Source organism: Homo sapiens, chromosome 5 (genome assembly GCF_000001405.40).
Source record: "Homo sapiens chromosome 5, GRCh38.p14 Primary Assembly".
NCBI lineage: Eukaryota > Metazoa > Chordata > Mammalia > Primates > Hominidae > Homo > Homo sapiens.
Genome location: NC_000005.10, coordinates 73552190 through 73575030, shown reverse-complemented (window position 1 = coordinate 73575030; position 22841 = coordinate 73552190). Strand labels below are relative to the sequence as shown.

The 22841-nt window shown below is 37.7% G+C and overlaps 2 protein-coding genes across 8 annotated transcripts in view, besides 6 other annotated features; one reads left to right on the top strand and one right to left on the bottom strand.

Moving 5' to 3' along the window:
* The window catches only part of UTP15 (UTP15 small subunit processome component), a 17640-nt gene extending 8350 nt beyond the window's left edge, over positions 1–9290 (bottom strand). Inside the window, exons 1-7 of one of the 4 annotated variants that reach the window (NM_001284430.1) lie at positions 9119–9290; positions 7597–7769; positions 6704–6739; positions 6427–6611; positions 5356–5534; positions 4320–4445; positions 2407–2542 (exon numbers count right to left, since the gene is read on the bottom strand). In NM_001284430.1, coding sequence (NP_001271359.1) covers positions 2407–2542; positions 4320–4445; positions 5356–5534; positions 6427–6611; positions 6704–6739; positions 7597–7686 — 752 coding nt within the window. In that variant the 5' untranslated portion in view covers positions 7687–7769; positions 9119–9290. Of the gene's footprint in view, positions 1–2406; positions 2543–4319; positions 4446–5355; positions 5535–6426; positions 6612–6703; positions 6797–7596; positions 7770–8844 lie in introns of all 4 variants that reach the window. The other 3 variants (XM_011543680.3, NM_032175.4, NM_001284431.1) reach the window with 3 other exon arrangements.
* Positions 9023–9577: an enhancer, noted in NCBI's record as "H3K27ac hESC enhancer chr5:72861279-72861833 (GRCh37/hg19 assembly coordinates)". NCBI's record gives its function as "activates a minimal SCP1, AML or CMV promoter by ChIP-STARR-seq in naive H9 embryonic stem cells {active_cell/tissue: H9 hESC(naive)}" and the evidence as "EXISTENCE:reporter gene assay evidence [ECO:0000049][PMID:30033119]".
* Positions 9023–10132: a biological region, named in NCBI's record as "H3K27ac hESC enhancers GRCh37_chr5:72860724-72861278 and GRCh37_chr5:72861279-72861833".
* Positions 9149–9708: an enhancer, noted in NCBI's record as "active region_22661". NCBI's record gives its function as "activates an Ori minimal core promoter by ATAC-STARR-seq in GM12878 lymphoblastoid cells {active_cell/tissue: GM12878}" and the evidence as "EXISTENCE:reporter gene assay evidence [ECO:0000049][PMID:35858748]".
* Positions 9392–22841, top strand: ANKRA2 (ankyrin repeat family A member 2). Of its 4 annotated transcripts, none has more exons than NM_023039.5 (9): positions 9392–9899; positions 12046–12438; positions 13743–13901; positions 17391–17456; positions 19446–19543; positions 20045–20170; positions 20643–20709; positions 21545–21625; positions 22179–22841. In NM_023039.5, the coding sequence occupies exons 2-9, from the start codon at positions 12150–12152 to the stop codon at positions 22232–22234; spliced, it is 942 nt and encodes a 313-aa protein (NP_075526.1). In that variant the 5' UTR covers positions 9392–9899; positions 12046–12149; the 3' UTR covers positions 22235–22841. The 4 variants fall into 4 exon arrangements, with proteins under 4 accessions (NP_075526.1, XP_005248617.1, XP_047273411.1 ...); XM_005248560.4 differs by having other exon boundaries at positions 12046–12451; XM_017009678.3 differs by lacking the exon at positions 9392–9899 and having other exon boundaries at positions 12190–12277.
* Positions 9578–10132: an enhancer, noted in NCBI's record as "H3K27ac hESC enhancer chr5:72860724-72861278 (GRCh37/hg19 assembly coordinates)". NCBI's record gives its function as "activates a minimal SCP1, AML or CMV promoter by ChIP-STARR-seq in naive H9 embryonic stem cells {active_cell/tissue: H9 hESC(naive)}" and the evidence as "EXISTENCE:reporter gene assay evidence [ECO:0000049][PMID:30033119]".
* Positions 9719–9928: an enhancer, noted in NCBI's record as "active region_22660". NCBI's record gives its function as "activates an Ori minimal core promoter by ATAC-STARR-seq in GM12878 lymphoblastoid cells {active_cell/tissue: GM12878}" and the evidence as "EXISTENCE:reporter gene assay evidence [ECO:0000049][PMID:35858748]".
* Positions 9949–9998: an enhancer, noted in NCBI's record as "active region_22659". NCBI's record gives its function as "activates an Ori minimal core promoter by ATAC-STARR-seq in GM12878 lymphoblastoid cells {active_cell/tissue: GM12878}" and the evidence as "EXISTENCE:reporter gene assay evidence [ECO:0000049][PMID:35858748]".

The following is a 22841-nucleotide window of genomic DNA, read 5'->3' as shown; positions in this document are numbered from 1 at the left end:
AGCATTTGCATTGTATTAGGTATTACAAATAAGCAAGCCATGATTTAAAGTATACAGTGGATGTGTGTAGGTTATATGCAAATATGCCATTTTAAATAAGGGACTTGGGCATCCACAACCAATTCTCCTCAGTTACCAAGAGATGACTGTATACTTTTTAATTAACATGCTGAAAACTAAAGTTTTTCATAAGAGCAGAAAAAAATGAAAATATGGAAATAAAATAATAAAAAATAGATCATGTAAGCCGGGCACGGTGGCTCACGCCAGTAATCCAGCACTTTGGGAGGCTGAGGTGGGAGGATCTGTTGAACTCAGGAGTTTGAGACCAGCCTCGGCAACATGGCAAAACCCCATCTCAACAAAAATACAAAAATGAGTCAGGTACAGTGGCGCGTGCCGGTGGTCCCAGCTACTGAGGAAGCTGAGGCGAGGGGATCGCTCGAAGCCAGGAGGTGGAGGTTGCAGTCAGCCAAGATCATGCCACTGCCCTCCAGCCTGGGCGACAGAGCAAAACCCTGTCTCAAAAAAAAAAAAAATTAATAATAAATCATGTAAATTCTAGAACTGTGCCATACTTCTAGCTGCACATGGCTACTGACCACTTGAAATGTGGCTAGTGAAAATGAGAAACTAAATTTTTTATTTTATCTAATTTTAATTTAAAAACTGAGACAGTAATTTTTATAAAATATTATCTTTTTTTTTTTAGAGACAGGGTATCACTGTAACCCAGGATAGAGTACAGTGGTACTATCACAGCTCACTGCAACCTCAAACTCCGGCTTAAGTGCTTCTCCTGCCTCAGCCTCCCTAGTAGCTATGATTAAAGGTGTGTACCACTGTGGCCAGCTAATTTTTTTAATTTTTTGTAGAGATGGGGTCTCACTATATTCCCTAGGCTGGTCTCAAACTCCTGGCCTCAAGTGATCCTCCCACCTCAGCCTCCCAAAGCACTGGGATTACAGGTGTAAGCCACTGTACCAACCTAAAATATGATTATTGTATCATAGTGCACATGTTTAGATGCTTAATTTATTTCTAGTATCTTAATAATTTTGACATAGATTACATACTGAAATTATATTTTATATGTAATATATATTTTATTTTTACATTAGATATTAGGCTAAATAAAATGTGCTATCTAACTTTTAGGTCAGGCGTGGTGGCTCATGCCTGTAATCCCAGCACTTTGGGAGGCCAAGGTGAGTGGATCACCTGAAGTCAGAAGTTCCAGACCAGCCTGGCCATCACGGCGAAACTCTGTCTCTACTAAAAATACAAAAATTAGCCGGGCAAGGTGGCAAGCGCCTATAATCCCAGCCACTCAGGAAGCTGAGGCAGAATCGCTTGAACCCGGGAAGCAGAGGTTGCAGTGAGCTGAGATCCCACCACTGCACTCCAGCCTGGGCAACAGAGCGAGATGTCATCTCAAAAAAAAAAAAAAAATTAATTTATCTAATTTTTAAAAAACTTTTCAGGCCAGGCACAGTGGCTCACACCTGTAATCCCAGCACTTTGGGAGGGCGTGGTGGGCAGACCACACGAGGCCAGAAGTTCGAGACCAGTCTGGGCAATATGGCGAAACCCCGTCTCTACTAAAAATACAAAAATTAGCCAGGCATGGTGCTGCACACCTGTAATCCCAGCTACTTGGGAGGCTGGGTCACGAGAATCGCTTGAACCTGGGAGACAGAGGTTGCAGTAAGCCCAGATTGTGCCACTGCACACCAGCCTGGGCAACAGAACAAGACTCTGTCTCAAAAAAAAAAAAAAAAACTTCAAAATATATGAATGTACAATAATGATTTTAAAAGATGGTTTATAGAATAACATTATTTGAAAGATTATCATTCAAATGGTTCAATAATGTTGTTTAAGTATACAAGTTAAAACAAATTGTGTCAAAGGAGAAAATAAGTAGCTATGGGTGGCCGGGTGTGGTGGCTCACGCCTGTAATCCCAGCACTTTGGGAGGCTGAGGTGGGCGGATCACGAGGTCAGGAGTTCAAGACCTGCCTGACCAACATGGTGAAACTCCGTCTCTACTAAAAATAAAAAACTTAGCCGGGCATTGTGGCGCGTGCCTGTTATCCCAGCTACTCAGGAGGCTGAGGCAGGAGAACCACTTGAACCTGGGAGGCGGAGGTTGCAGCGAGCCGAGATTGCACCACTGCACTCCAGCCTAGGTGACAGAGTGAGACTCTGTCTCAAAAAAAAAGAAAAGAAAAGAAGTAGCTATATGTAAACAAAAGGTCAAAACTATTTTCAACTCAACAGGTTTTTTTCTCCTGGAAATCATTATCTGTATACTTATCACAAATATTGCTGAAATAACTCATTTCCTCAAGCAGTAAACAGGTGTACACTAATAATAATATACAAAAAAATTAAAATGCCAACCTATCCAGTGAGCCAGAGAGTAACCTCTGTCCAGAGCTGCTTAGACATAAACATGTCACGGTTTTGTGATGATTTTTCAAAGATACTAGCAATTGTCCTCCTTTTAACATGTCCCAGACTTTAACATAACGACCTCCTATAAAAAGAAATCATCGTTAGTTGGATATTCTGCCCACAGATTCAACATATTAAAGATCTGAAAAGCATTCTTCTCTGGACACTCCACAAAGCATGGAGGCTGAGTGAGGGAGTCCAGGCCAGGCTGCCTGGTAAAATCCTGGATGCACCACTTCCTGGGTCATTGGTAATAACAGTTCCTACCTCACAGAACTGTTATGACCATTAAATAATATTTGTGAAGTGTACATAAATTCCAGCAAAATAAATGTATAACTGAAAGAGTCCATTTTAAGAAAATTATAATAAAATCATTTTTTAAAAGAAATTCTATATAGCAGTGGAAGTGAATAATGTAGATCTGCAGCAAAATATCAAGCAAAAAAGTCTAATATGGAAAGACAGAAAAAGGGATGGAAGGGGAGACTGAAATCTTGACTGGGGAACAGGAGTTGGAACCCAACTCACAGTTCCCACCTCTCCACTCCTATGTGGCACCTCACAAGAGGGATCACAGTTGAAATCACTGATCTAGTCCAACCCTCTCATTTTCAAGGTCTAGAGACCTTAAGGGATTGCCCGAGGTCACAATTAGCTAGTGACACACAGTGGAGATCAGCACACAGCTTTCTATTCTCCCTGTTCAACATGATATTTTTTCCATTTGTCAGAATAACAGCAAGAAAAGTAGACACATCTGACATTATCAACTTTTTTCTTTTTTTAATTAAAGATGGAGTCTTAGAGTCTTGCTATGTTGCCCAGGCTGGTCTCAAACTCCTGGACTCAAGCTATCCGCCTGCCTCAGCCTCCCAAAGTGCTAGGATTACAGGCGTGAGCAACCACATCCCGCCTCAACTTATTTTTAAATCAAATAGGTACTGGGGAAAAGAATATAAAACAGAGTAATTTCTAGCCAGATTTTAGAATTAAGAAAAAAAAAAAAAGGAGGTACACACAGCAATATATATGTTGTCAAGTATACATACTACCTATACATTCTTCTAATATGAACACATTTTTACTTTATTTACAAATGAAAAAAGCCAATTTACTTCTTCCACTGTAATTATGAAAATGCAATATGTGCAAAATGAGAAAAACATCTCAGTCCCAACTTGTTGAAAAATGTACCAAGGCCCCTTTTGAGGCCACATTATCTCCTTTCTCTAGTACTAGCAGCTATTTGCTGGGTAGTGGCATTTCAATCAAGAGAGTCACAGAAAAAGAGACAAGCCTACTAGATCTCAAATAACTGATTTTCAAAAGCTGCTGCAGATCTCTTAGGTAGGAGTAAAAGGAGTATGAGCTAAATTTCTGGGGTTAAATAAGATGGCACAGGGCTAAATACATAAGAGCTAAATTTCTGGGGTTAAATAAGATGGCACAGGGCTAAATTTCTGGGGTTAAATAAGATGGCACAGGGCTAAATAAATAAGATGGCACAGGGCTAAATACACAGAGCTCTCGAGTTCTGTGATTTCAGATCTGCCACTTACCACTTTGCCTTGAAAAATAAGTTAAAACTTTTATTTCATTGCTGTAAAGTAGGGAAAAAGCTAACTACCTTGTAGCATCATCTAGGGCATTAGAGTTCATATGTAACAGCACAGTGCCTGGCTCACATTAGGTACACAATAAATGATAACTGCTTGCCAGTCCTACCTATCAACTGTTTGAACAAAGACTTAGATATGCAATTCAAATGCACACTGATAAATTACAAAGAGCAACTGATTTTAAACAAACGTGATTCAAAACCAACAATATTGGTGAAAGCTATTTTTAAGAAGTACCTGCTGACACCAGAAGACCTCCAGAGGGGAAAAGTAGGACACTCTCCACTGGCTGCCCATGCTCAACGGAGAGAACACTCTCACTCGTTCGTGCATCAAACATCTTCACAGTATGATCATATGATCCTAAAATGTCAATTTTTGAATTTTTAGTTTGACTGTTTAAAACAACAAAAACTGTGTGTATCCAGATATAAATTTTAAAAGGAAAAAAAGCTTAGATGGAGTTTTAAAAAGACATATATGTATATTCATGAAGACACAGGACCTCCAAACCATCTACTACTGATCGTGTCTGAAGAAGCACTACATAATACTATACAGAATCTAACTTGCTCTGATCTTAAAATATTTCTTTCTTTGGACTACTGTCACTACTGAATCATCTGGAAATCTTTGTAAAGGCACCCACAAAGGCTAAACTGCACTCTTTGTTTCTTGGCTGCTTGAGGCAGGGTACTATACATTACAGTTCTGAGAGTCTATTATGTTTTCAAGACAGCCTGATTTTTCCAAACACATTTGGAAGACATGAACAATCAACAAAAGAAGAATAAGAAAATAAAAAACAATTGGAAGCCAGGCATGGTGGCTCACACTTGTAATCCCAGTCCTCCGGGAGGAAATTGAGGTAGGTGGATCACTTGAGCCCAGGAGTTCGAGACCAGCCTGGGCAACATGGCAAAACCGTCTCTACAAAAAAATACACAAAGTAGCTGGACGTGGTGGTGGGCACCTGTAGTCCCAGCTACTTGGGAGGCTTATGTGGGAGGATCACTTGAGCCCAGGAGGTAGCAGATGCAGTGAGCTATGGTCACATCACTGCACTCCAGCCTGGGCAACAGAGTGAGACCCTGTCTGAAAATAAATGCAAACATACATACATAAAAATTAATTTAAAAACTGAAGAATTAATCAGAAACATATTCCTTTATAAAAAAAATTTAAACCCCTCCATCCCAAAAGAGTCCCATAGCAACATTAAAGTACATCCCCGTGAGATTATTTGCTTCAGGAGGGAATAGAGTTCACCAACCTGTTATAAAGAGATCCGGATTAAGTTTGCTAGCACATCCACACCTCACATAATCAGAGTGTTCTTTAAATGTCAAAATTTCTTTGGAGTTTGGAATATCCCATAATTTAACTGTATAATCATCAGCCCCAGAGACCACGTGATATTTGTCAGCTGTAAAATCTACTGTATGAACTGCTCTGAAAGATTGAAGGTCAGTATATTAAAAAGCAAGAAAATTATTTTTCTGATACCTTCTAACATAAAATGCTCCTTTTTCTCAGATTAAAAAAAAAGCAGCTGAGTTTCAGGGAGTCTTCATAGGGGGAAATCATGAAAGAAAGAGAAAACTTACAAGTGTTTGCCCCCAAACCAATTAAGAAGTGTAAATACTCCTATATTGTAAAGTTAAAAAAAATTAAAGGATAGCCTTAAAATTATATTTTCTAGTATATAAACAATTCCACTTAGCTGCTGAATATGGAAGCAAAGGCACTTTAATTTTTAAAATTTCAAAAAGTTCTTTAAAAAACTCTAAAGAGATTTACCACTAAATAGAATCATGTTACATAAATTTCTGTTAAATTTTAACAAATTTCAGCACGGACATTGGCAATCCTGAAAACAAAGTTATAATATAAAATTGTGATGGCCACTTAATTTATTAAGGGGCAAAACACTATAAATTCAAGAAGAAAATCCACCTTCCTACTTGACTTCAACATAAGAGCCTCTAAGACAGTACAGGCCTATAGAGCTGTCATTACCAGCTGTAAGGTTGTCTTCAGGTCAGTAATTCATAATCTCAGCTGGGCCACAGACCCCACTAAAGTTAACCAAAAGCTACAGAGTAGCTCCCTAGATAAACGTGTATTTCCTAAAATATCACATACAATTCTAGGGAATTCATAAGCCCCATGAAACTGGACCACGGAACCCAAGTTAAGCACTCTTAGAACAATCAGGAAATATAGTACCTATAGGCAAATAATCTCCATAAAACTGATCTCTATCTTTTTAACCAAAGTCCAGAGAAAAAAAGAGCTTACAACAAAATAAAACCAGAACACACAGAAACCAACTGTCTCTTACTTTGTATGGCCTTCAAACTGCCTGAGGGGAGCCCTCCCACTTATATCAAAAAGTTGAACTCCACCATCTTCACTGCCAGCCACAAGCAATCTACCATCTTGTCGAAAAGTAGCACAGTATGCTGTGTCTTTAAATCGAGAAAAGGTTTTTATAGGTTCTTGGGAGTATCGGCCATAAATGTGAATCTACAAGATGAAAAACAGTATTTCACCAGATGGCTCAAGATCAGTAGTAAACTATACAAAAGAAAAATAAAGAAATTTAATATTATACTTACTCTTGAGGAAGCTGTGACAGCATAATTATATGGAGGCTGAGGAGAAAAGTCTACTTTTGAAACTGCACCAAATTCCTTAATCTGAACAGGGGTCTTAATAAAAAATAATAGTGTGTTAACAGAGTTACCACTGGTAAGACCTATTTATGCATTACATAATTTCTTACAGACCGTTTCTCTTTGTTCTTAGTAACATTTCTTAAGTTGTATTTAACATAAAATTACAAAGAAAGCAAAAAAGGTACATATCTCATCACCCAGACTATTCTTGTTGCCACTGAAATAAACATATGGTTAGAAAGCCACACCCCACTCTGTCTCTTCAGCTATTGAGTTTACTGTGATTTCTACCAGAAAAAAAAAGTTATCATGTCTACACCAGCATACAATAACCACGTACTTGTACTTTTAAAATAACAAAAAGATAATCATACCATGTAGGCTGTTCCACATCTTGCTTCTTTTCACTTAGTAACACATATTAGCTTTCATAGGAGCAATAGACTTACCATCCATTATAAGGGCACACTGTAATTTACTATACCAGTCCACTACTAATAGACATGGGTTTTTCAAGATTTCTACTATTACAAGCAATACTTCAATAAACATCTTTACACATATGAGATTCAAATTTTAAAATTTAATTCATTTGGCATTGATTGATCATCTGTTCTGTGCTAGGCATTTGTATGGTTAATCTGATTAAGCAGTATGGACTTTTACATAAAATTCCAAGAAAAAATAGATATCAAATTATCTGCCCAAACTATAAGCTGCTGATAGATGGTTTTCAGTTAATAATTCTCTGTTAGAGCATCCAGAGTATAACATATGCTAGAGAAATTGGCATAAACACAAATCCCTTCTCCCTCATTACGTCCCACACTCACCTTATAGTTGTTCCAGTACAGTGTATCTTGGGTGATTTTTTCACCAAGTATAGGATATGTCTGAATAGCTACAGGCTTATAACCAGCCATAATTCCATATAATTGCACTATTGTCCAAGAGTCACTATTTTGGAATTGGTATTAGAAATAATTACAGTGACTCTGCCTTAATTCTGAAAAATAAAATATTTTATATACATATTATAAGCTTGTACACATAGTTGATTTTCACTCTGCTTTCTTTAAAAAGTCTGTGTGGAAGTATATAGATTAGAGACCAATAAGCCATTTAATTCTAACCCAGAAAAGGCAATCTATAGGAAGCAGGAATAATTAAAGTGAAGGCTATCATATCGCACCATCTATTCAGCTGTACACAAAGGTTCTCACACCTAGCCAACCATTTTACAACACTTAGGAATAAATCTAGCACAGCCTTACAGTAGCCAAACCAAAAAGGATCATGCTGGCTTTGAGTGTCCATTTTTTGGCAACAGGAAATATTAAGGTGAAACTGCAAATACAAGTTTCCTGAAACCAAGTTTAAGATGACATTTAATCTATAACAATTATAGTTACGGATTTGATTTCCTGAAAGCCTAAAAATGCCAAGAAGTAAGAAACACAAAGCTAATATTCTAATGTAGAAGCTTAAAATTAAATTTACTTTAAAAGGTTTAAACAGTAGGAAAGAAAACTGTAATAAAGCAGTCCTGAAATTAAATTCAACACTAAAGTGGCAGAATAGGATAAAACTTTTAAATAACATGCAATCAAGCCAAAACATTTTTCCAGAACGACTCAATTGCAAAAGAGATTCAATGTTATCAGGTAAATGATTCCAGAGGTGCTGCTCATCATCTATTCCAAAAAGCCTGAAAACTTTACATTAGTAACACCACGATAAATAGGTGTAACATATATTTAAAAGGTGCTTTAATGAAATACAATGACCAATGATTGTATTTCACTGGTCTTTGGGAACACTCTTCTGTTCATTAAAGTACCTACCAATGTGCAGGACACTGCTCTAGGCACTGGGGCTATAATGGTGAATGAAATAAAGACATGGTCTGTGCCTTTGCTTACTCCAATATACTCCATTTTGGCTGGTGACTGGCACCAGATATTAACCTAGACTCAGCCTTGACGTGTCCTTTTCTTCCTCACTCCTAACATCCAAATAGTTAACAAGATCTGCTGATTTTATCTCCCAAATATTTTAAAACTCCATTAGGTTCACTTCACCTGAGGGAGCCTCGTAAGCAAAGGCAAAGATGGAAATGTGTCCATTGCCTTGGAGAGTTGCTGATTACTCCGGGAACTAACAACGGTGGACAGGAAAGGGTGTAATCGCAGAGAAGAACCTAGGTCGAAGCTTAATTGAGGGGAACTTGAGCCGGTTAAAGAATTTGGCCACTCTCCTATATAGCCTGGGAAGCCCCAGAAGAGCATGCCAGATTAACACAGGAAGGCCGGGTGTGAGTGTGGGCTTCCCTCAATGGGAGCCGCCTTCACCTACCTCCACTGAGCCCCAAAGGGTCCGACGAGACACCTCGACCCAAGGACAATTAATCGGACTGTGCCAGCTCCCTACCCTGCACAGTTCAGCAGCACTGGCGTAAAAATCACATGGACCCTCAAGGAGCCGGCGACACACACAGCGAACCGAACGTCGCGCGAAGATGACGTACCAGAGCACGCTCATGAGACTCACGCAGCCCGGCGGCGCAGAGGCGGGTCAGGTGGGCGGGGCGATCTGGAGTAGGAGGTGTGACCGGAGGGCGAAATTGGGGCTTCCTCTGCTCTGGTGACCCAGAACCGTCAACTGAAATGACCCTGTCTGTGTAGTACTCCGGCAGGATGGGCCTCGGAGCGTAAAGGCGGCAAAAACAAAAATATTAAAAAAAAGGAGAGAGGGACAAAAAAAAGAAAACCCGAAAGTTTCAGCTGCATTGCTGCGGAACGTTTTTTAGCCAGAAGGCGAAAGAAGAAATCGGAAGTGACGTCGCGGCCAAAACAAGCCCGGGCTTGGAGGCCTGTACTGAAGCTGGCCTCAGATGGGAAGGCCCGACTCGCTGTCTGCTGTCGTCGGTGGTCGCGAGACCTTGCACTCTCACCGGGTCGGCCTCCAGCCCCTGTGCCCGGGATCCGCTCGCCGCGGATGAGCGAGAGTTTCTTCCTGGGACTTTTCGGGCACAGCTGGCCGGTGGCGACAGAACGGACTTTCTTTCCTGCAAGAGTCTCCCCTCCAGCGGGAGACAGCGGGCTCCTGTCTCGGGACGCTGGGACACCTGTCGCCTGTGAGGCATCATTTATTTTCATAGCACCTTCCTCTCCTTGTAGAATAATTCCAGGATCAGGAAGAAACGAGGGGCTCCTGTTATTAGCATCCACAGGAACTAGCATAGCTGCCCACTTTATCTCCGTAGACTCTCTATCCCTTCATCCCTGGGCTCTGACAGATCGAGGTGAACCTAGCTATCGATTGCCTTACCCCCTTTTTCTCACCACCACCTCTTCTAAGTCCTGTTACCCCACTCCCCTCACCCCCGCCTCCCTCTCCTGTTCTTCAAAATTTTGGCCTACCAATCAACTTTGCTTCTCCTCTCGTTAAACTGCTGTGCCAAGATAAGCGTTCATTTTCCACCCACCCCCTTCGCCTAAGCACATTTGCTATTCTCCTCTCGAAGACCTGTAATTCCATCTATAAACCCTGATTTGTAACATGGAAGCTGTTTAGAGCTGGAAAGAATATTAGAAAGGCCTATTTCAACACCTTTTTATAATAGATGAATTTCAGAAAACTTGTATTATTTATTTGTCCAGGAGTGGCCAGCTAGTTAGTAGCGATGTTGGGAGTGGAAAGCCAGGTCTAATCAGCAAATGTTAGAAATAGAAAAGAATATGGAAAAAATTGTTAAAGTTAAGATCAGAAAACATTTATGGAGCACCTGGTAGGACCAAGTACTGTTCTGTGTGCAAAAATTAGTAAGAGTGGTCCCCATCCTAGGGGAGTTTTCAATTTAGCTGTTATTTAAATGGAAATTGTCAAAAGGATGGTGAATGCTAAAATACAGATACATGCAGGGTGCTCAGAGAGCTTAGGGGAGTTGCACTTAGCCAACCGCTGGATAGGAGAAAGGGGGAGATGGTTCTTCCCTCAGGAAACACAGTTCACATTGTCCAGTCCCTTTTAAGACGCATGGACTAATGCATTGCACATCCATCTCCCTTTGAATCACTGAACTAATTTTCTTTTCTGGTTTCCTTCTTTTTGCCCAAATGTATTAACCTTCTTACTTCCTGCTTTTTTTTTTTTTCCTTACTATACTATGTGTTATTTATTCAACTCTCTCGTGGAGATTTTGGCTTTGTTTAGGGCTGCCTCATTTTAATGGTCAGAGTGATGGAGTCAGAAGAGCTGAGTAAGCCCTCATAATTCATGAGCTTCCTTTTTTACCCCTCCTAGGTGGACATATGATTACCTGACCTGCCTACTCAAAGGATTGTTATAAAGACTAATCTTTGAAAATGTTTTTAAAATTGTAGAAGGTGGTTATCTGTAAATGTATGGTTTCGCGACCCTTGCTCCACTGCGATCCTAATGCATTTTTCTTTTAATTCCAATTCCAATTTTGAAACACCCTGCACCCTCTCAAAATTCCTAAGAGGCAATTAACCCTAACATGAAAAAATTAACTGGATGTTATTAATTTCCTTTCTGTCCCAAATGATAATGTATCTAAGACAACTATACATCTTGGAAAGCCAATCCATAATCTACCTACTTTATTTTTCATGAAAACCTACATTAAGTTGCTAATGCTTAATCGGAACAAAAATTCATAAATGTACCTTCAGTTCATCAAAACCAAAGCTTTGTAAAGCCTTTCATGGTCTAGGAATCACAGGTGTTATAGATGACAATGCCAATAAACTTGGATACAACATGAATTATCATTTCTTAAATTCAAACTAAGGGCCACCTATATAAACATAGCATATTAAAGAACTAACCTTAGGTAAGAGATTAAAGTTTATTTTCATTGTTAGCCTGATCTTTTATCCATTTGGTGATATTCAGATATAGGAAATGGGAGAAACAGTAACTAAAATGTATTGGAATTTAATGATGGAGGTGAGAATATCACTGTACAGTATTTCATTTGGTCTTTACCAGAACCCTATAAGGTTAATGGTGATATCCCTATTTTATAAATGACACGGAAGCTCAGAGGGATTGAGTAACTTCTACAGGTCACACAGCTAATTAATGGCAAAGTTTGGATTCATACCCAGGTTTCTCTACCTCTGAACATTATATTCTTTCTATTATGTGTAGGTGCTTTCAAGAGCATTGTTACAATACTTGATTGAAAATGATTATTTTGTGTGTTTTTACCTAAGCTGATAGAATACTTTTAATTTTCTAATTTTTTCTTTCAGATTTTTAAATATCCAGATTCCAAGAACACACTGGATACTGCTCTTACAAAACCAAGAGGAAATCATGAAGAAATGTTTTAGTTATTGAAACTACAGTTGAAATCATGGATACATCAACAAATCTGGATATTGGAGCCCAGCTTATCGTGGAAGAGTGTCCCAGCACTTATAGCCTAACTGGCATGCCAGACATTAAAATAGAACATCCACTGGACCCAAATTCAGAAGAAGGGTCAGCTCAGGGTGTTGCCATGGGAATGAAATTCATATTGCCTAACCGATTTGATATGAATGTGTGTTCTCGATTTGTGAAGTCCTTAAATGAAGAAGATAGTAAAAATATTCAAGATCAGGTTAACTCTGACCTGGAGGTGGCATCTGTCCTATTTAAAGGTTGAAAGTTATGGTATAAATATCTGCATTTGTTTTTGTTTTTGTATATTTGGGTTATTTTCCCAATCATGAGATTTTGAGTTTGGGAAGACAGTTTAGAAGTCATTTTTTAATATGATTTTCTGGAATCTCATAGAAACCAAAATTAAAATAATTTCAGATTATATAATATCTAATTTAAAGGAAGTACATGTTGATTTTTTTAAAAACTTCTTGTTTAATATTTGTTTACAAATTCCCTAATGAAGTTCCCTATTATTCCTTTTAAAATCATAGGGCCAGGCACAGTGGCTCATGCCTGTAATCCCAGCACTTTGGGAGGCCGAGGTGGACAGATCACTTGAGGTCAGGAGTTCAAGACCAGCCTGGCCAACATGATGAGACCTCGTCTCTACTAAAAATACAAAAATTAGCCGGGTATGGTGGCGTCCACCTGTAATCCCAGCTACTTGGGAGGCTGAGGTACAAGAATTGCTTGAACCACAGAGGCTGTGGTTGCAGTGAGCTAAGACTGTGCCACTGTACTCCAGCCTGGGTGACAGAGTGAGACTCTGTCTCAAAAAATAAAATCATAAGAAAAAAAATCATGTTCCTTTTAGAGATGAATTAGCGTAATATCCATTCCTGAATATTCCTGTTCTATGAATATTTAATATGCATTTACTTTCTGTGCTTTAATGCAGTGAAGTCTGTCATCATGCTCTAGATTTGCTTTTATAATGATACCCTGAATAATAAAACTATTCTCTTAGGATAACATCACCCAAGATTAATATATTTTCTTCCAGAACTTTCACTATGGTTATGTAGACTTTTTTTTTTCTTTGAGCCAGAGCCTCTCTCTGTCACCCAGGCTGGAGTGCAGTGGCGAGATCTTGGCTCACTGCAACCTCCGCCTTCTGGGTTCAAGCAATTCTCCTGCCTCAGCCTCCCGAGTAGCTGGGATTACAGGCGTTTGCCACCAAGCCCGGCTAATTTTTTGTATTTTTAGTAGAGATGGGGTTTCACCATGTTGGCCAGGCTGGTCTTGAACTCCTGACCTCAGGTGATCCACCTGCCTTGGCCTCCCAAAGTGCTGGGGTTACAGGCGTGAGCACCATGCCCAGCCTAGACTTTTTTTTTTTTTGACTAACCATTATGCAAACAAGGAAGTATGGACTTTAATGATAAAAACAATTTAGTATCACTTGATAAATAGTTTAATTGAAGCTATTACACCTCATGTATTTCTTTTCAAATGTAGACATTGACATAGAACTCTTACTGAAATGCTTTTAATGTGTTTACATTTGTTTTTCACTTAGCTGAATGCAATATCCATACATCTCCTTCTCCGGGAATTCAAGTAAGGCATGTCTACACCCCCTCTACAACAAAGCATTTCTCACCCATAAAACAGTCAACCACTTTAACCAACAAACACAGAGGAAATGAGGTCTCTACCACACCTCTGTTAGCAAATTGTAAGTATTTGCCACTGATGTATTACTATATTCTTAATGTAATACTTTCAAGAGTTTGACTTTAAAACATTATTTCATTAAATGCATATTTTCTGGATAAAGAAAATGTGTTATACTACACAATGGAATACTATTCAACCTTAAAAAAGAAGGAAATTCTGTCACTTGGTGACACATGGATGAACCTGCAGGACATTATGCTAAGTGAAATAAGTCAGGCATAGAAAGACAAATACCACACGATCTCACTATATGAGACATCTGTAAAAGTAGAACTCAGTGGAAGTACACAGTGGACTGGTGTTTACCAGAGGCTGGGAGAGGGGAGTAGATGCTGAAAAGGTAGAGATACTGATCAAAGGATACAAAGTTTTAGCTAGACAGGAGGACTACTTAATGACCTGTTGTACACAATGGTGACTATAATAAATATAATGCACTGAAGGCTGGGCATGGTGGCTCACACCTGTAATCCCAACACTTTGGGAGTCCGAGGCTGGTGTGTCACTTGAGCTCAGGAATTCGAGACTGGCCAGGGCAACATAGCAAGACCCTGTCTCTACTAAAAATGCAAAAAATAAAAAATAAAAAAATTTCAAAAAATAGCCAGGCGTGGTGGTGCATGCCTGTGTTCCCAACTACTTGGGAGGCTGAGGTGAGAGGATCACTTGAATCTGGGAGGAGCAGGTTGCAATGAGCTGAAATAGCACCATTGCACTCCAGCCTGGGTGACAGAGTGAGACCCTGTCTCAAAAAAATAAAAATAAAAAATAATAATGCATTGTATTTTTCAAAATTGCTAAAAGAGTAAATTTTAAATGTTTACACCACGAAAAAATAAGTATGTGAGGTGATAGATTTGTGAATTGGCTTTAATCATTCCATAATGTAAACATATATTAAAATACCCCTTTGTACTCCATAGATATACACAATTATTATTTGTCAATTAAAAATAAATAAATGCATTATACGTAACTTTTTTGAAAGCTTAAGTGATGTCCTAGTAGTTTTAGCAGTTGTAAACTTTTTCATATATTCTTGCATTTTTAAATATTTCATGTGGGGCTAGACACGGCGTGTCACACCTGTAATCCCAGCACTTTGGGATGCTGAGGTAGGAGGATTACTTGAGTTCAGGAGTTCAAGACCAGCCTGAGCAACATAACAAGATCCCATCTCTACCAAAAAAAATTTTTTTTAATTAGCTAGGTGTGGTGGCAAACACCTGTAGTCCCACATACTCAAGAAGCTAAGGCAGGAGGATCACTTGAGCCCAGGAGGTCAAGGCTGCAGTGAGCTGTGATCATGCCACTGTACCCCAGCCTGAGCAACAGAGTGAGACCATGATTCCAATCAATCAATAATAAATAAATAGTTCATGTGTTATATTTCTCTGTTGAGAGCAAATACAGATTAAAATATTAATTATGAAAACTTAAAAGTTTTACTGTAAAAATAGTGAGTTAATAAATAATAAATAGAGATTAAAAATAATAATTCTGAGCCCTTTGAAATTAAGACACTGTATTTTCATCTTCTTAGAGTTCAAGGCTTCACATTTTACTTATAAACCAGATCACTGATCAATAAATGATTTTGTAGTAAAAGCTGAGTGATTTGCACTGTAATTTTGAATTTGAATATAATATGAATATGAAATCACCTATTTTAACACCTTGAATCCACAATTTTTTTAAAGTAGAATCATTGTAGAGGAAGTTTTTCTATTTAAAATACAAAAATATTCTATATAGTATAAGTATGTTAAAAAAAAGAAAAACAGCAACTGTATTTGTGTTAGTATTTAACTGTATTTCTGTTAGTCACTGTATTTGAGAATGTAAGATAAATATATCTATATTCTAAAGCATGACAAAATCTGTTTTTTCTTTGGAAACACTAAATCCCTCCTGATTTCTGAGTCACATACTGTACCAACTGAGCTAGGAAGAATCTTCCTGTAGGACTCTCATCCCACCTGTAGGCCATTTCTGGTTTACTTATATAAATTTGCATAGGACACCAATTGCTTTTCCTTCTGTAGTAAGGCCATCCAATCGTATCATTGAAGTCAATGATCAAATGCTACTAATTTTTAAGGAGAACTCTCCCTATTTGGCATTGTCTTTAAAGAAGTTGTCTTAAAATAATCCACCATAGAATTTTTGAGCTAAAAACAAACACCTAAGATCATTTGATTTACATCTCATGTTACAGACAAAAATGTTTAAACTTATCCAACATCACACAGCTAATTAGCCACAGCTAGGCCTACACTCAAGAATTTATTCTCAGGCCAGGCGCAGTGGCTCATGCCTATAATCCTAGCACTTTGGGAGGCTGAGGCTGGCGGATCACTTGAGCTCAGGAGTTGAAGACCTGGGCAACATGGCAAAACCCTGTCTCTACAAAAAATATGAAAATTATCTGGATGTGGTGGCACCCACCTGTATAGTTCCAGCTATTTGGGGCACTGAGGCAGGAGGATCACTTGAGCCCAGAAGGTTGAGGCTGCAGTGAGCTGAGATCACACCACTGCACTCAAGCCTGGGTGATAAAGCGAGACCCTGTCTCAAAATAAATAAATAAATAAATTTACTCTCAAGGCCAGTTTTTCATTTGTGACTTCATTCCTTGTAAAAAGAAAACCCCATAGAATCTCGAAATAAAAATATTTAAGACCACAATGGGGTCAGTCAATAAAAAGACAAAAGAGTGTCTTCATGTCTTAAGACCCATCTTCCTGATAAGTTTGGATGCAGAAATAGCATTTTAAAAATTAAATATCTAAGCCGTTTCTTCAGAATAGATTTCATTGATAATACCAATTTGTAGATTTTTAAAAAAGGCTGAGGCATGGTGGCTCATGCCTGTAATCCCAGCACTGTGGGAGGTCAAGGTGGGAGGATCTGCTTGAGCCCTGGAGTTCAAGGCCAGCCAGAACAACATGACGAAACCCTGTCTCATAAAAATAAAATTGTAGATATCAGAATTACCTTAAATAAATATGAATCAATTCTCAGATACAGAATGAGTACTTGTAATTTTAGGGTACTTTTTTTTTTTCTGTCACCCAGACTGGAGTGCAGTGGCACAATCTCAGTTCACTGCAACCTCTGCCTCCCTGATTCAAGTGATTCCCCAGCCTCAGCCTCCCAAGTAGCTGGGATTACAGGCACATGCCACCATGCCCAGCTAATTTTTGTATTTTTTGTAGAGACAGGGTTTTGCCACGTTGGCCAGGCTGGTCTCGAACTCCTGACCTCAAGTGATCCACCTGCCTCTGCCTCCCAAAGTGCTGGGATTACGGGCATGAGCCACTGCGCCCAGCCTTAATTTTAGGATACATTTTAAGTTATATTTTTAAAACAATAAAATTGTAGTTTTTGTTTTGGAAAAGAAAATTGGTGACACAAACATGAACCATGGGATGATGCAAGTGTACCCTATAGATAATTCATGAAGCATTTTATGATACTCTTTCAGCTTTGTCTGTTCACCAGTTGGCTGCTCAGGGAGAGATGCTCTATCTGGCTACTCGTATCGAACAAGGTAATAGCCTATTTAAAAATATTTAAACAAATTCAATAGGATTTATTAGATTTGTTATTGTTTTATTTTAATATAAGAAAGTCCTAAAGACAAAAACAAATAGTTACATAAACTCACCAGGCAGATAACCCAATGGATAGTAAAAAAAAAAAAAAAAAAAAAAGGAATATAAAGCGTAAAAGTTCCTTTACCACCGTTGCCTTTTCCCCAAAAGCAAACGTTATAAGTTTCTTACATTTTCAGTAAATTTTTTTGAAAACATTTCTATTTATGTTTCGGATTATGTGTGAGAATGTATATGTGCTTGTTATTTACACAAAAGGGAAAATATACACTACATTGCACCGTTTTACACTGAATACTGTGGAGAGCTTTCCATATAAGCACGTATTAAAGACCTATTTTATTCTTTTCATAGTTCCATAAGTGTGCATTGTATTGCATGTACGTGTTCTATGTTATTTTTTTTTTTAACTGCCCCCCTTAAGTTTTAAGTTTAAACTTAAAACTTAAAAGTATATCTATAGGGCAGATTCCCACAAGTAGATTTGCTGGGTCAAAGGGTGTATATATATATATATGTATTTTTTTATATATGTAAATATATATTTTATATATATAACCAGATGTGTGTCCTCACACAAGAGCTAGAGTTTCTGTTTCCCCACGCCCTCACTGATACAGGATATTAGCAGATTCCAAATTTTGCTAATCTGACGTGTGAAAAATGGCATCTCAGAGTAGTTTCATTTACATTTTTTAAGTTATGGTCTACTGGAATTTTTTGCGTGTGACCTACCTGCTATATATTAGTATGTAAACTCTAAATTAAGGAAATTAGCTTTTTTTCTTGTTGTTGTTTATGTTGCATATATTGTTCCCCAGCTTGTCATTTTTCCTTTGACTTCCTTTATGAAGTTCTGAAAGCATAACATCTGTAAGTCATAAATTTATTTTCTTCTTTGTGACTTCTGGATTGTATATCTTGCTTAGAAAGGATTTCCCATTTCAAGATTATAAATAAATTCACTCATTCCTTATTCTAGAACTTCTGGGCTTTCCTTTTTACATTTCAATATTTAACTCATATGGAATATGTTTTGTTGTAATGAAGTAAAGATTGAGCTGTATTTTTATTTTCATGCTTTAAAAAGTTAGCCAGTTGTCCCAAAACTGTTTATTGAATACAGGGAGTCTGATCAAAGAGTTTTATTTTGCTTAATCTTGTCATTTTTATAAGAAAGAATCTTATATTTCTGTTTGTTTATGAATATTTGGAGGCTTCTTCAATCTACTAAATAAATTTAGGGAAAAGGCTGTGGACTTAATAACTAGTAGACAATCTAGGGAAGAAAATGGGGTTCAAGGTAGAATTGCATGGTACTGTATTTCAGACTATTCATTCACATTATATTATCTGTCATCCACATAACATTATGTTAGCAAACCACAAGAATGAGAGAAATTCACAGGCAGCAATGTTAGCTATGGAGTAGAAGATAGCTTCAATAAGATTCAATAAGTTTATATATTTCTGTAATTCTGAGGGCTATCATATAATCTCACTTTTATTATGATCCTCCCAACTGTACGTTGATGTAAGCAAGGAATTCTGTATATTGAAGAAATTAAGTGTCTTGCCCAGGGTCACATGGCTGGAAAGTGACAGAGCCAGGATTCAAACTGTGGTCTCCTGATTCTGAGACCAGTGTTCTCTTGACTGCCTTGTACCCGACATTATGTCATGTCTGGTAGTTTATACTTTAAGTAATATGCTATCTGAACCCGGCTATGTACATTGAGGCATATTTTAATACACTCAGACTACAAATTACAACAACATGCAATAAATAGGACACCAACATAAAGTCAGCACAAAGTGAACTTTACTGAGTATTATAATCAGCTCTTTGGAATGCCAGTTTTTCATAGTGATATTAAGATATGGTTGTTAAATTAGATCACAAAAATTGCTTTTCTTTTAAATAGAAAATGTTATCAATCACACGGATGAAGAAGGATTTACTCCTCTGATGTGGGCTGCAGCACACGGGCAAATAGCTGTGGTAGAGTTCCTACTTCAGAATGTAAGGAAAATGCCTCAGAAAATGTATATGTATAGTTACTTAAGTTAAGTCTTTAGTAGAGTTTTTATATATCCAGCCAGCTAGATATAATGGTAGAGGCTACCAAAAAAAGTTTAATGCTTTTCATATTCTTGTGGAACTTGGATCTAGTTGGGAAGGCAAGACTAATCATACATGCAACAGTGAGAAATAATTTAACGCCCAGACCCCTCTACATCCCACGGGAACAGAAGTACTGTCAGCTTTGAAGGAGAAGGCTTCATGGAGGAGCTGTGACTTGACTCCAGAGTGAAAGGATAATTAGGATTGATACAGGACGGAGGAAGGAAGGCATCCAGGCAATCTCAATAAAAGCATCCATGAGTAAAAGTTTCCATTATTTCTTTATTAAGCCCAGAACATTACCAGGCCTAGTGTTGAACTATAATTATTGTTGACAGGAATAACAATATTCTTGTTTAAACTAATTGAGAAGTCTTTTATCTCTACTTCCCATACCAGGGTGCTGATCCCCAACTTTTAGGAAAAGGTCGAGAAAGTGCACTGTCGTTGGCCTGTAGTAAAGGCTACACAGATATTGTCAAAATGCTGCTTGATTGTGGAGTTGATGTAAATGAATATGATTGGGTAAGTTTGTAATACTAAATTTAAAATGACTCTAGCAAGTTTTAGAATTTATTTGGTTTGGGAGAGATGCAGTAAGTTTTATTAAAGAAGAAATAGACTGAGCATCGTGGTGTACACCTGTAGTCCCAGCCACTTGGGAGGCTGAAGCGGGAGGATAGCTTGAGCCCAGAAGTTTGAGGCTGCAGTGAGCTGTGATTGCACCACTGTACTCCAGCCTGGGTGACAGAGTGAGACCCTGTTTCTAAAAAATAAATAAAAGAATAAATAAAGAAGAATAATTAATTAGCTACATAGAAGAAAAAGTTAATATCATAGACTCAATTATTAGTTCTGATTTAAGTATCCTTCACAAAATATTAAAATTACTTTAAATGATTATATGTCTAATTCTAGTAAAACTTCTTACAGCAGCATTAAATTACTTGAGTCTTGCTCACCGTGAAAAACTCTGAATCACCTTTTCATTTTGCAGAATGGAGGAACACCTCTGCTTTATGCTGTACATGGAAATCATGTGAAATGTGTAAAGATGCTCTTAGGTAAGCAGATAAAAATTTAGAAAATGCCATGTGAGGACTTGATTTTATTTTTTCGACCTGGCCTCCCCTGGTACTACTCAGGAGAATCATTAACTATTGTTAAATACATGAATCTTGCTGCTCTTCACCCTTAGAGCACCTGCCACCAAAAGTTGCCCATGTGAGAAGCAGCTCCATCACATACCACACCTGCAATTGGACCTTTTATCCTTGTTGCTTTCATTTGGGGGGTCACATGTGAATCCACTATGTGGCCAGGCACAGTGGCTCAAGCCTGTAATCCCAGCACTTTGGGAGGCCGAGGTGGGTGGATCACTTGAGATCAGGAGTTCAAACCAGCCTGGCCAACATGGCGAAACCCCGTCTCTACAGAAAATACAAAAATTAGCCAGGCAGGTGGGCGCCTGTAATCCGAGCTACTCAGGATGCTAAGGCAGGAGAATCGCTTGAACCCCAGGGGCAGAGGTTGCAATGAGCCGAGACTGCGCCTCTGCATTCCAGCCTGGGTGACAGAGCAAGGCTCTGTCAAAAAAAAAAAAGAAGAAAAGAAAATGAATTCACTATTGTACTCTTTCTACAGTGTCTTTATGCGTGAGCTTTATCTTTAATTGTGTATGAGTTTCAGCTGCTCTAAAGGATGCTGTTTGTTTGAAGTGTCTTCCCTCCAATCCACTAAAGTAAATTCTAAGTACCCCATGCACTCTGTACTTTGTCAGACTATCCTAAAACATTCTCCAAACTGAAAAATCTCTCCAGCTATTTGTACATGAGCCAATAACAGACAAACATATCTGCATTTTCATTTCATTTATGTAGTTTTTCTATTTTGGTATAGAAAGTGGGGCTGATCCAACAATTGAAACTGACTCTGGATATAATTCTATGGATCTAGCTGTAGCCCTAGGCTATAGAAGTGGTAAGTATGTTAGAACTCCTGTGTCTCATCTTAGTAAAGCTCTGTAAATAGTATAAGCCAGTACTCCAAACCATCTTTATCACTGTAATCCTAAAACATGTTATCCCAACTCCTGACATATACTTTTAACTTTGGGAAAAGTCCACAAATTCCTATAAAGTCTAGAAATGAGTTTGTTACTATACTTTTCACCAACCCAAATAATTGGTTACTGGAGGATAAGTGCATACCTGTTTATAAGATTTATTTCATATTTTGATAGCAAACTATTTATAGGGCAACCTTAGGATAACCTTGTATTCTGGACTCTCCTTGAGTTTCAAAAATAAAGAAACAAAGACACAACGTCCAGTAACTTGGACAGTTACTCAGTGACAGACTAAGTTTCAAGTTTTTTAAAGTATTGCATTGTATTATTGCCCTCAGGCTATGTATGTATCCTGCTTAGAAATAACTTTATTTTAGGAAAATATTGGGGATAAGTTAAATTTGATAGTTTTAAAAGAAATTTTATAGTCACTGTGCTGTAATCTTGATTACCTATCTGTTCTAGTTCAACAGGTTATTGAGTCACATTTGTTGAAGCTGCTTCAAAATATCAAGGAGTAGACACAGTCATCAGAAAATGTCTGCCCTTTTGTTTACTTCTTGGTCCTTATAAATGATAGTTTTGTTTACTTATAAATTTTTACCTCAGTTGCAATATTTACTGGTTTTTAGTAGGTTTTAATAAATATTTCTCTGAGTAATTCACTGGTTTATAATAAATGTAATACTCTTTTTATAACTATGTTTTACTGTATATTTAAAATTATAAATTAATGTTTTCGTGGCATGTAAATTTTTATGGTACAGATAGTTATCATCAGTCTTTGTATCAAGTGCTGTAATTTGACATTTTCAGAAATTATTCTACCCTAGTCATCTTCACTCGTGTATTAAGTCATTCACTTTATATAGGGTTTGCTATAAATCCCTAGAAAAAAATTGTTCTTATTGTTGAATAAAAAAGTGCACAGTGTGATTGTTTACAAAATGATATTATAAATAAATAAAATACTTCTTCTGTCAGTTTGCATACTACTTTTTTAAGTATATAAGATTATTAAAGATTTCTTTCAGATTTTTAATTTCACCCTTCTGTCCTGCCGTAACACTTCATTAGATCAAACAATATATGTAATTAAAATAAACTGAATCTAAGTCAATCAACAAA

Coding starts and splice junctions, on each gene's coding strand:
- ANKRA2 (NM_023039.5), top strand. CDS start 12,150: ATGGATACATCAACAAATCTGGATATTGGAGCCCAGCTTATCGTGGAA. Junction 17,457..19,445: donor GGCTACTCGTATCGAACAAG/GTAATAGCCTAT, acceptor TCTTTTAAATAG/AAAATGTTATCAATCACACG. Junction 20,710..21,544: donor ATGTGTAAAGATGCTCTTAG/GTAAGCAGATAA, acceptor ATTTTGGTATAG/AAAGTGGGGCTGATCCAACA.